The following is a 12714-nucleotide window of genomic DNA, read 5'->3' on the forward strand; positions in this document are numbered from 1 at the left end:
CTGCAATTTTAAATTTTCTAGTAGCCACACTCAGCGAGTAAAAAGAAATGTGAAATTTCTTCGAATAGTATGTTTTATTTTAGTAATATTTCAAATATTATTAATTCAATAGATTATAATTATAAAATTATTTGTTAGCTATTTTACCTTTTTTTAGGTAATGTCTTCAAAGTCTGGTATATATTTATATTTCCAGCATACTTCAGTTTGAGCTGGCCATGCTTCAAATGCTCACTGCCACATGTGGCTAGTGATGAGTGTATCAGATGGTATAGAGCCAGAGCTTATTAAGGAGAAAAAATTGTATGTATAATTATAATTCTAGTATGTGCATTATTATTATTATAGTTTAGGCCCGCGAAGTAATTCGCTAAACACTTTCACATACATTATCTCTGATCTTAGCAATTTTGTGAGATGATTAGTTATTGATATTTTTTATCAGATAAATAAAAATAAGGCCGGACATGGAGGCTCATGTGTGTAATCCCAACACTTTGGGAGGCTGAGGTGGGAGGATCAGTTGAGTTCTGGGGTTCGAGACCAGCCCGAGCAACAAAGTGAGACCCCATCTTTACAAAAAATAAAAAAATTCATTGAGCGTGGTGGCTCATGCCTGTGGTCCCAGCTACATGGGAGGTTGAGGCAGGAGGATGGCTTGATTCCAGGAGGTTGAGGCTGCAGTGAATTATGCTTGTGCCACTGCAGCTCAGCCTAGGAGACAGAGTAAGACTTTGTCACAAAAAAAAAAAAAAGAGAGAGAGAGATATTCAGAGAACCGAAGTGACTTGTGACTTCAGAGCAGTAACTTGACATCCTTATTTCCTACTTTCTGAAACAAGTATATGTACACACACATTTTTCTGTGTGACTCAGTATGGCACATTGGAAGAGGCAGCGTACCACCTTATTTTCCTCTTCATTACAGCTGCTTTCTTCTTAAGAACACTCTGAAGAACAGGACCGGAAAACGATGTGAGGTCCCCACACTGTGTTCCACATACAATTATTAGATTGGTGCAAAAGCAATTGAGGTTTTTGCAATTACTTTTAATGGCAAAACTGCAATTACTTTTGCACTAACCTAATATCTCCCTTTACTAATCTCTGCTGCTGTCCCCAGATCAGCTGAGGCCCCACCTTTGGCCGATCCTCTGCCTCCTAGCCTTTCTGGCGGACCCCATTCTTAGAAGGCTGGGGAGTGGGCCTCAGGAAGCAGCCGGGGCTCTGAGGAGCCCAGGCATTGTCTTTTCTGTGAGACTCATCCCGCTATTCAGCAGGTGAAACCTCTCCGCCTGTCATTCTCTCCCCACCCCATAATGTGCAACAGGCCTGACTTTGTGATGGGCAAATATCTCTCTGAGATCTTCTTTACAGGCATTCACCCCCCACACCCTCCTCAGCAGTCTTGGGCTAATGAGCTCAGTTCCTTTAAACCCAGCTCCTGCCTCAGCCCTTCTCAGAAACTTATATCCGGCCATGTAGACAAAGCTAGAATTAAGGCTTCCAGATTTATTTCATTTAACAAGAACCCACAAAGCCAGCCCAGTAGCCCATTCATCCCAAAATAGCTTCTGAAAGCCTGAACATACGTCAGTGTCTCTTTGCAGAAACCACACTGCATTGTCATGAAAGGGCCATTTGAACAAGGTAGCTACAATGAAATTATCTCAATGCATTTCAATCACTTTGCAACATCAAGGTTCATTTCTCAGTAACAGTCTCTTTGACAATAAATGAATTGCGTGATTGGTGTGTGTTTGCGTGTGTGCATGTGTGTGACACCCCTTCATGATGAATTCCTGGGTATGCCAATGTTACAAGTGATTGGTCTTTGCATCCATCTCTTAGCATAAATCCCCAGCATCAACGTGACATGTTGAGCAGCACCGAGCCCCCTGGATTCTCTCAGTCTTGGTGAGAGAGGGAGTGGGGACTGTGTTCACGCTGTTACAAAAGGACATCTAAGAGGGACAGCAGGGAGGAAGCTGGGCAGAAATGCTCCGAATCAATAGCTCTTTCTTCTTGGTGGCTTGGAGCTTGCAATCTCTCAGCCTGTGTCGAGTCATCATGAAACTGAAGAATCCTTGGAAAGTCACTGGGTTGGGCACTTTTAAAAGTAGAGTCTTTTCTGTTCTGCTTAGAAACTCTCATGGCATGCTACAGAGAAAAGAGGAGCAGAGGCCCACAGAGCTCCCTTCACCAGAGAAGGGAGCGAGGAGGTCAGAGGGTGGAGGAGGTGGGCTGGGATCTCCCAGGGCAGCACCTGGGCGGAGTTCTGGAGCCACTCCCAGCCTGGGGAGAAGCCCTGCCCCTACTGTTTGCTAAAAGTTTGGACAAATCCTTCTCTGCCCTGTACCTCAGGTTTTCCATCTGTAAAGTGGGAAGACAACCATCCCACAGAGGTGCCATGAAAGATTTTTAGGGAGTACCTAAAAGGTTCTTTAGGTGCTAGTCAAGTCCCGGGGTCTCGATGTGTCATTAACTTGCTGTGTGGTCTTGAGCAAGTTACTTAAGATTTGTTAGGTCTCCTTCCTTTCTTTATAACAGGGTAATAACCTACCTCCCTATTTAACTTATGAGTAAAGCAGAATGGCTGTGAGAGTGGGCCTGGAGCCAAAGATACCTGACTGTAAATCTGAGCTCTGCTCCATCATCTTGGGTAGTCTGCTAAGGTTTCTGTCTCCTGTCCAAACCTTCATCTGTAAACGGGAGCAAATCATCTCTAATTTGTAGACCTGTTGTGAGAATTTAATGATAATGCATGTAAAATGCCTAGCAGGGGCCTGTCACATAGAATGTACCCTATTGATGGTAGCTGCAGGTATATTACAAGGTTGTACTGAAAAACAAATGAAAGAAAGCAATCTTTCCTTGAAAAATGCACAGAGCTCCACAAATCTATGACATCATGATGATTATGATGATTGTTGCAAATGTCACATCTTCATGTGGAGTCGAGGTGGGCATTAGCCACACTGTTCCCATTACTCAAACCCCAGATGCTCCAATGACAGAGCCTCTGCTGAGAGGCTGACGTCAGGGAGAGGTGGAGGAGGGCAGATCTCCCAACCCTTGGCTTCCACCAGCTTCCTCTCACCGTGGAGCCCTAAGGCCTCAGCAGACACGCTGACTTCTTTTCAGAACAAAGCACAGCAAAACAAAACACACAGCGGCTGCTGAATGGAAAACACTTGCACTCTAGAAAGGCTGGCAAATTCCCTGCCTCGTCCCACCCTGCACGGACAGGGCCCTCTCTGCCCAGCCACCTCCTGGTGCACCCCGCTGTATCTCTGACCACACTTTAAATGTGCACCCTAGGAGGTGGATGCTCTGCAGAGAGTGTGTGTGTCTGATCTGAGGCCTGTGGTCCCCTGAAGAAAGACCAACAGGACTGGGTGCCATCCTGTGCCCAAGTTGTTCCCAGGAGGAGAAAGCCTGTAGGAGGGGAGCAAGCTCCCATTCTGCCTCCATTCCTTGCAAGGTCAGCCAGCTACATGCTTTCTTCTGGCTGGGCCCCTGAGGGCAATTGTTGCTTTTTCCTCTTGAGGAGTCTTTTTATTTTCAGAGTGGCAGGGAGGATGGTTTATGGTGAGTATGGACCTAAATGAGAAGGGTGAGTAGTAGATGGCGTATTCTCTGGGCTGTGAATCCTGGTCAGGTGGGGGTGGCTGGGCTGGGGCAGGAGACACTGTAAAGAGCCAGTAGGCCTGGATTCCTTCCAGCCGTGCTGCTTCCTGCCATTTACTCCATCTGACCTACTTCACAGGCTGGGCTGCCATGAGCGGCTGCTGCAGGCTGTGCACTGCACAAGGCCAAGGCTTACCATTTGCATGGTCTGCGGAGGAATGGTGCTCCTGAGAGCTGTTCTCTGCAGCAGCTTTGCTCATGGGGCACTGGTGAGCAGCAAACAGAATCATCGTCTTCATCACCATCAGCAGGAGCAGTGACTTTACCAATGATTGATCAGCTGTTATGTGCCAGGCTCTGTGCTAAGTGCTTTACATTTTATCCTCCCCTCCACCCTATATCAGGTAAGTACTGTTATATCTCATCCCCATTTTATAAGTGAGAACACTGAGGCCAAAGGAATTAAGTGATCGGTCAGAGGTCAGTCAGATCGGGAGTGATGGGGCTGTAATCCAAATGCTGGGCTGGCTGACTCCTAAGTTCACACTTTGTCTTCATTCATGATACAAAAGAGATGTCTGTTTTCCTGAGGCCCACGGGCAGGGGAGGCAGGACTCCTAAGCCTGGGCCCTCTGACTGCCTGGGCCAGTGTTTCCGTGCCAGAAACCCTGTCTCAGAGGGCAGGAAAGAGAATGGGGAGCCCTTGCAGAATGTGGTTGGATCCTTCTCTCTTGGCTCTGTCATCCTTGCCTTGGGATGTCCTCCCAACACAGGCCATTAATCTCACTCAAGGGCCAGTGCTGGCAGCGGTTATGCTGGGGACATCTACATACCTTGCATTCCTCCCCTTTCACAGAAAGGAAGAAGAAATGGAATTTCTGTCAGATTGCTTGAACTCACTCTCTGGAATCACTGCGCCCATCTTTTCAGAGATGTTGCTACCAGAATCATTCCCCCCTTCTCTTATTTATATACACTCACACAATTAGATATAACTATATTCACACATAGACACATATTACAACTTGAACTTAGCACCTGCTCTTGATATGTATGCCCAGAAGGCTGTCACACAATCTTGCACACACCCACACATTTGCACATGCCCATCCAGCTGAGCAACATGTATTTACACAGCACACACATTTGCATCATATCTGTTCATGTGCATGCATGTGCACAGCTGTTCCCCTTAACTGCAGAATGAAGTGAGCACAGCAGCACAGAACAACAGCTGGTAGGAAGCATGTTTGTCGGGGTGTGGGGAGTGCAGGAGAGAGGAGGTGGGGTGGGGCCGGGAAGAAGTGAGTACTAGCAGAACAGAGGCTTGCAAAAGACTGCAGCAACCAGCCCCAGCTGGCTGTAGGGGCTCACAGTCTTGTCACTTAGAAGGTCTGTCTGAGAGACCTTGGTGGAGTGCAGCTTCAGCATTTGGGGCCACAGCTCTGCAGGCTTTTTCTCTAAAAGGCTGCCCTATTTGTGTTGTGTGTCCCTGTACACGTGCGTATTTGGCTCAGGCTGACTTTCCATACACAGACAGGGCTCTATTTTTGGATGTCTTGGTTCTCATGAGTTGTGGCTAAGTGAGGAAGTCTGAGTCTCTCCTGATGCCCACGCTTCCAGGATGGCTCCTGGCTGTCTGCGTTAGCAGGTCACTTTTGGGCTAGCTACCTATACCAGTCCAAAGGCTTGATACAGGAACCACATCAGAATTGGTGACAAAACAAGCTGGGGGGCTCCTAAAGGAAGATACTGGGATTCTCAATAGGCCATCACCCAAGGGAAGCAGTATTCTCCTCCTGCGACCATGCCATGGGATGAAAGCCTCTGCCCTGTATGTCTGGCCACCTTGCTAAAAACTGTCAGCCAGCTCTAGGCAGCTCCAGAGCTGTATGACAGGAGTGGGAGGACTCTTGGGTCAGAACTGTATTTGTGGGTGGTAAATTTATATCTTACCCACTGAATATAGCTTTTTATGGCTCAAGACATAGGTTTGGTTTTCTTAAAAAAAGGTTTTCTTAATTCAAAAAATGTACACATTTATAGTAAGAATACAAACAGTACAAAGATGTCAGTCCTTTTCTACTCGTGCCAAAATTATAAACAGTTTATTTGCATCATTCTGCAAATTTTATATATGTCTTTGTGATATGGTTTGGAGGTTTGTCCTCTTCAAATCTCATGTTGAAATGTGATCCCCAGTATTGAAGGTGGGGCCTGGTGGGAGGTGATTGGGTCATGAGGTCGGATTCCTCAGGAATGGTTTGGCACTAACCTCTTGGTGATAAGTGAGTTGTTGATCAGTTTGTTCACATGAGATCTGGTTGTTTAAAAGTCTGAGACCTCTCCTTCCCTCTCTCTTGCACCTTCTCTCCCCATGTGATGTACCTGCTCCTGCTTCACCTTCTGCCATGATTGGAAGCTTCCTGAGGCCTCACCAGAAGCTGAGAAGATACTGGAACCGTGCTTCCTGTACAGCCTGCAGAACTGTGAGCCAATTAAACCTCTTTTCTTTATAAATTATCCCACCTCAGATATTTCTTTATAGTAATGTAAGAATGGTCTAACACTACGTATGTGCAAGTGTATATGTATATGTAATGTATACCTATGTGTATGTGCATAAATGGAAAATGCACTGTGGTAAATTACAGATGGCTACAAACACTTAGCCACTCCTCCCAGAAAGAGGTGGAGGCTACCTCTCCTATTTTAGAACTGCCATGGCACTGTGACTTGCCTTGACCACTAAAATGTTGAGAAAGTGATGCTGCGTAACTTCTGGGAAAAACTTTAAGAGATTTGCTGTTTCTGCTTGCAGTCACTTAGAATGCTCCTTTTCAGAATCTGGCCCCTGTGCTGTGAGAAGCCTACCCCACATGGAAATATACACAGAGGAAAATGGAGGCAGTGGCCAAAAACATAAGTCAAGCTCCTAGTCAACAGCCAGTGCTGATTATCAGCCATGTGAGTGAACCACTAGGGCCTTCTAGCCCAGTCAAGCCTTCAGATGACTGCAGCCCCCGATGTCACTATACGGAGCAGGTGAACCACTCAACTGAACATTGCCAAGCCACAGAACCATGAAAGTTAGTACATGGTGGGTTTTATTTCCAGTGGCTATATTTTGGGATAGTTTGTCACATAGAAATAGAGAACTGAAACATGAAGATATATTTGATTCATTTAAATAAATATTTAGTAATTTTCTGATTGGCTATACCATTTTCTTTTTAATTAATACCACACTTAATAGGTAAATGTACAGCTATGTGTATAATGGAAAGTGTACTGGGGACATGCAAATATCGTTTAAGTACAATTAGGTTTTTATCTAGTTATTTGCAAAAATGCAGCAATAGACATCCTGTGTGTGGATATTTGTTCACATGTATAAATATATGTCTCTAGGTTAAATTTCTAGGAACAAAATGCTTAATAAATGACATGTAAATTTAAAATTTTAATAGACATTGACAAATTCTCTTCCAAAGGTACCATGCCACCAGTGGTATGAATGTGCCTGATTCCCCACTTCCTTGTACACAGGACATGGAGATATGCTCAAACCTTTCATCTTCGGTTGTGTAATAAATTTTTAAAAATCATTTATTTTGCTTTTCTTCAATAACAATTGAAGTTGTTCATCTTTTGATATGTTTATCAGCTATATTTTTCTTTTTCTGTAAACATCTTTTGCCCATTTTTCTACTGGTTCATAAGAGCTTTTTTCTGTATTGAATTTTAATAATTCTTTTTCCTTTTTGAACTGTAAGAACTCTTAGATGACAAATGAAAGAAATTAGCTCTTTATCAGTCATTTGTGCTATACATTTTTTTCCACAGATTGTTTTTTGACTTTTTTTTTTTTTTTAAGAGATGGGGTCTCACTGTACATACATCACACATTTTAAGAGATGGAATGCAATGGTGTGATCATAGTTCACTGTAATCTCAACCTCCTAGGCTCAAGCAATCTTCTTGGCTCAGCCTCTCAAGCAGCTGGGACTACAGGTGCATGCCACCACATTGGCTAATTTTTAAATTTTTTGTTGAGATGGGGACCTTGCCCAGGCTGGTCTTGAACTGCTGGCCTCAGGTGATCCTCCCGCCTCAGCCTCTCAAAGTGTTTGGATTGCAGACATAAGACACCTTGTCCATGGCTTTTTTTTTTTTTTTTTTGGCTTTTGACTGTACATACATCACACATATATACATCTGACACATTTTATTTTTGTCTGATTTTATGGTTTCGTCTTTCATCTAGGCGGAATTTGTCTTGCTACAAGGGGTGAGGAAGGGATCCTGTCTAATTTTTTCTCCACAAATGTCTAGCTAGTTCCCCATAGCTTTCATTGATCATTGATTTATCCCCCACTGCTTCAAAACACTGCTTGGTCATATACTAACTGCCCAGGTATATATTTGGGCCTATGTCTATACTCTATGTCAGTCCATTGTTCTCTCTGTTCATATGCCAATACTGAAGGCTGCTTCTTAGCCTTTCCAGTCTGCATTTCCTCTGAGTCTGCTGTTCGCTGTTGGAGCCAGGGGCTAAAGTACTCAGCCTGTACTGTCAGTCCCGGATAGAATGCTTCCATTTAAATTCTCATCTAACTCATTCTATTCCCCCTGTGGATTCTTCTCAGCACTTCTTTAGAAAGTCTCCTTTCCCTGGGTCATTTCTCCCAGACTAGAAAAATTCCTTCCCATAATAGCTCTTAAGTGCTTCCTCTTGGTCCTTGTGATGAGCTTTTTTTTTTTTGGCTTTCCTAGGAATCCTTCCACTCTGGGCCAAAACTTCACCCTTCTTGCCTCCCTTGAGAAAGCAGTTATCTTTTTGTGGGCCATCCCCATGCATTCATTCTCCTGCCTGTTCGCTCGCTTGCAGTATTACATGGGGTAGCGGGGTCAAGTCGGTGGAGGGTGAAACAGGCGATTGGCAATACTCCCCTCCGCATCCCTGAAGCAGGTGATGATCTCCATAGGTCCCAGGGTATCCGTGCCCCGTTTGATCAGAAAGAAACACACCCAATCTTCCTCTTCCACTGACTTTTCCCGTGTGAAAGGACTCCCTGGTCAGGCGGTATTCATGCCGCCTGGAAACTCATCTGCCTGTGCCGCTGCTTTTTCCTGGCAGTTTACAATGTTATATTGCTACCAAAGCGGGCAAAATGAGGATGTGAAGTCGAGCATCTGAGAAGGCTCAGAAAGTCTGAATAAGCAATACTGGAATAACAATGTACTCCTCACCAAGGCATTTAGCCAGAAAAGTGCTCCTGCTTAGGAATTCTATTTGTTTTTCTCTTGGAAAATGGGGAAGTACATCTGTAATTCAGCTGTGAATACCCTATTTTCTTTGCAGGGGAAGACTGGAAATAGAGTCCTTTATCTCAGATATCAAACCCTGGCCCAGGATACACAAGACCAGGAGTCATCACCATCAGTAACAGTAACAACAGCTTCATTAACAAGTTGCTGTTCCGACGTGGGCTCCGGGGTGGGGAAGGAAGGAGGGCGTTCGGCTCAACGTCCAGGAGAGGCACCGGCGAACTCGAGAGCCAAGAGCGGCACTCCCACCTGGGCACTCCTTGCTGATGGACCGGGACCTCCTCTCCCATTTCTCCGGGGCCTCCAGGGCCCTCCCGCACATTCAGCATGATCTCTGAGGAGTTCACTAGCTTTCCTCCCTCCGCTCTCCAGCTCCCGTTCCTACCAAATGCACCAATCATCACTAAGCCAGGTCAAAGGCCATGGGATCAGCTGTGATCTCTCCCTTCCTTTTTCATTCTCCTCTCCTCATATCCAAACTGTCATTAAACTCAGTGTTTCTTCCTTCAGGCTGTTTCTTGAATTGGTTTCTTCTCTATCCCACTATTACTGTCCTGATCCGTGCTAATCCAACAGTTTCTGCCCCCACCCCAGGACAGCTTGTGTTATCACGGCCAGGTGGATCTTTCTAGAACACCAAGCTCAGCGTATCCCTTCTGATCAACAGAGAAGGAGAGGAGAGCCTACACTGTGCTGGGTCACTGTGTTACGCTATGTGCTTGTTTCATTTAATACCGTCAACGACCATATAAAGTGTGTTTGATTATCCTTAAGCAAAAAGGTCAAGAAATTATTAGATCAATTTCAAGTCCTCTTCCTGGCATTCAGAACTCGCCCCAAAATATGGCTGCCTTGACTAGTTGGCTTTATCATCTCCTCTATCCCAAGATGACCTTTGGGGTTCCAATCAGTCCTATCTCTTCCCCGGGAGTAGGGGTGGAGGGGCAGCACCCCCGGGCAGAAGATGCAGCCAAACAGGAAAGACAGAGTTCACACCTAACTGGCTAAAGTACAGGCAAACACCTGCTAATGAGTGGTGGTGGCAGTGGTAGGGAGTAGGTTGAACTGTGTCCCCAACATTCATATGCCCCAATACTTCAGAATGTGTCTATATTTGGAGATAGGGTCTTTAAAAAGGTGATTAAGTTAAAATGAGGTCATTAGGGTGCGTCCTAATCCTGCATGACTGGTGTCCTTATAAAAAGAGAAAATTTGGACACAGAGGTACAGAGGGAAGACCATGTGAAGATGAGGGAAGGCAGACATCTATAAGCCAAGGGGAGGCCTCGGGAGAAACCAACCCTGTAGACACCTCCATCTCAGACCTCCTGCCTGCAGAATTGTGAGAAAATAAGTTTCTGTTGTTTAAGCCACAAGATCGTGGTATTTTGTTACAGCAGCCCAGGGAAACTAATACAGGAGGCCGGGCAGGCATTGTCCAAGGGAGCTGGAGAGGCTGAGCACTGGGGCACGAGGGTAGGTAATGATGTGAGCTACCTTACTGAGCATCTTCTATACAGCAAGCACCAGGCTACGCTGTGAACATTCTGCATTCATTATCACTAATCCTTACACATGCCCTGCCAGGAAGTTACTGTCACAGCCATTTTAGAGATATAAGATCCAAAGTTCAGGGTGGAAAGAAATGTCCCTAGGAGACACACATAATGAGTATCAAGTCTGGCATTGGAATCCCAATCTCCTCCTCACTAAGCCCATGCTTATTCTACTATTCTGTCCTGTGTCCATCAGTAGATGGGCTGGCATCAGTGGACCCCAGATCTGTCCACAGGCAGCAGGGCCCTGACCAACAGGTGGCTTCTCGGAGCAGTGCCTTGTCTTAGGGGGGCATGTTCACTGAACTCATGAGGTCAGAACACAGGACTTCACAAAGCTGAGGAGAGAAGGGAGATAGCTAGCTCAGTGTGGCACCCCATTCTTCCCATTGAGCCCTCTCCTCTTCCTGTTGAAGTTCAGCGTGGTTCTGGAAGTACCTGAGTGGGAAGTAGCTTTAGCTTCCCACGACTGTTCAATAGCATTCAAGTAACCCTTCATGGCATGCCGAGATTCCTAATGAGATGAGAATACATTCTTTAAAGCTCCAGTTAACGTGTATGCAGATGGGAGCTTGGAGGACTATTTTGCTAAATGATGCACCCTGTGAATAACCATCACCCCCATATCTACTAGGGCAGGCACCCCTTCTCTGTCCTCAGCTGGGGACCCCTCTCATCCCACTTGGACTCAGAGTCCCTGGTGCCCCGAAGGAAAGCAAATCAGCCTCACTTATAATTAAGTGTCTCAAATAAAGTTTTGTTTTAGGCTAAATAAGAAAAGTGATACCAAGTCAAACAGATCACAACTGATTATTAAGAACAGATCTACTACAGTTTGACAACTGCCACAAACACAAATCTTATTTGGGAGTTGCTAAAACTCAGTAAATATCATTTTAATAATTAATTAAACTTTAATTAATGTCTTGACAGTAGTCTCAACCTGATAGGCCTCTTCACAATGTGCAGGCTGTGATGAGGATGGTGGCTGCTGGGACGGCCAAGGGCAGCTAGGTTTCAGGTGTCCCCTCCTTGGGGCAAGGAGAACTAAGTTCACTTTCCCCCAAGAAAAATCTGTGGTCTACACAAATCAACCTAACCACTGAATCATCAAACACTCTGAGAATTCAGGTTACCAACAGTGACTGCAGGAGAATCTAAAGTGCTTTTGCATCCTTAGAGAAAAATCTCTGCTCCATCTTTTTATGGATCCAGTGGGTGGCAGAAGGAATGGAGTTACTGCAACATGACAATCTCCATCCTGCCTGATGCGCGAGCACATAACCGCCTAAGTTTAAAGAGAATTCTGGATATAATTTATTATATAAGCCTGTAATCCCAGCACTTTGGGAGGCCAAGGCAAGTGGATCACCTGAGGCCAGGAGTTTGAGACCAGCCTGGCCAATATGGTGAACCCCCCACCTCTACTAAAAATACAGAAATTAGCTGGGGGGTGGTGGCTCATGCCTATAATCCCAGCTACTTGGGAGGCTGAGGCATGAGAATCACTTGAACCCAGGAGGCAGAGGTTGCATGGAACTGAGATCGCGCCACTGCACTCCAGCCTGGGCGACAGAGCAAGACTCCGTCTCAAAAAAACCCAAAAAACAACAACAAAAAATAATTTATTACATGAGTAGCTCCCAAATAGCATAATTAGTATCATGTTAGCTGTAAAATTAAACAAAAAAGACTTCTGTCCAGTTCCCTAGAAATTCTAATTTAGTAGGAATGAGCTAAAAGGTCTGATTTAGTAAGGTGAGAATTTAGTAGGCTCAGGAATCTATATTTTTAACCAGTTCCCACTGTGCGAGGATGCTGTGCCAGCAAAGGGCTTCTTCAAGCCACAGAGCCTCCCCTCCCAGCTGCCCTCTCTCCACTGAGCCTGAAGCATGGGCGGCGGTGGGAGCCGCTTCATTATAAAAAGCAGAACATCCCTAAAAACAGGATATTCTAGGGACACCAAAGAGCCGACACTCCATTGGAAACGCCTCCTCTGGGGTCCAGGAAGGCCACTCCACAGTGGCGCTGAACTACTGTTTCTCAGCAAGGTGGTCCGGGCCTTCTGCCGTCAGCCAGCCACGCCCCACTCCCAGTGGTCCTCTTCCGACATGAAAGATGCCAGGAACAGGAAAAGCAAAACAGCGCGCAGCGACTTTCCTACTCTAGTAGCATTTTCTTTCTGTGTCTCTGGTGA

The 12714-nt window shown here is 45.5% G+C and overlaps 1 protein-coding gene and 1 long non-coding RNA gene across 18 annotated transcripts in view; one reads left to right on the plus strand and one right to left on the minus strand.

Moving 5' to 3' along the window:
• Window positions 1-12714, minus strand: part of KIRREL3 (kirre like nephrin family adhesion molecule 3) — a 580037-nt gene that overhangs the window by 276095 nt on the left and 291228 nt on the right. The window lies entirely within an intron of this gene.
• Window positions 3747-9470, plus strand: LOC124902785 (uncharacterized). Its single transcript, XR_007062940.1, has 2 exons — window positions 3747-6719; window positions 8996-9470. It is a non-coding gene; the product is annotated as an uncharacterized LOC124902785 (long non-coding RNA).

This window comes from Homo sapiens, chromosome 11 (genome assembly GCF_000001405.40).
Source record: "Homo sapiens chromosome 11, GRCh38.p14 Primary Assembly".
Classification (NCBI taxonomy): domain Eukaryota; kingdom Metazoa; phylum Chordata; class Mammalia; order Primates; family Hominidae; genus Homo; species Homo sapiens.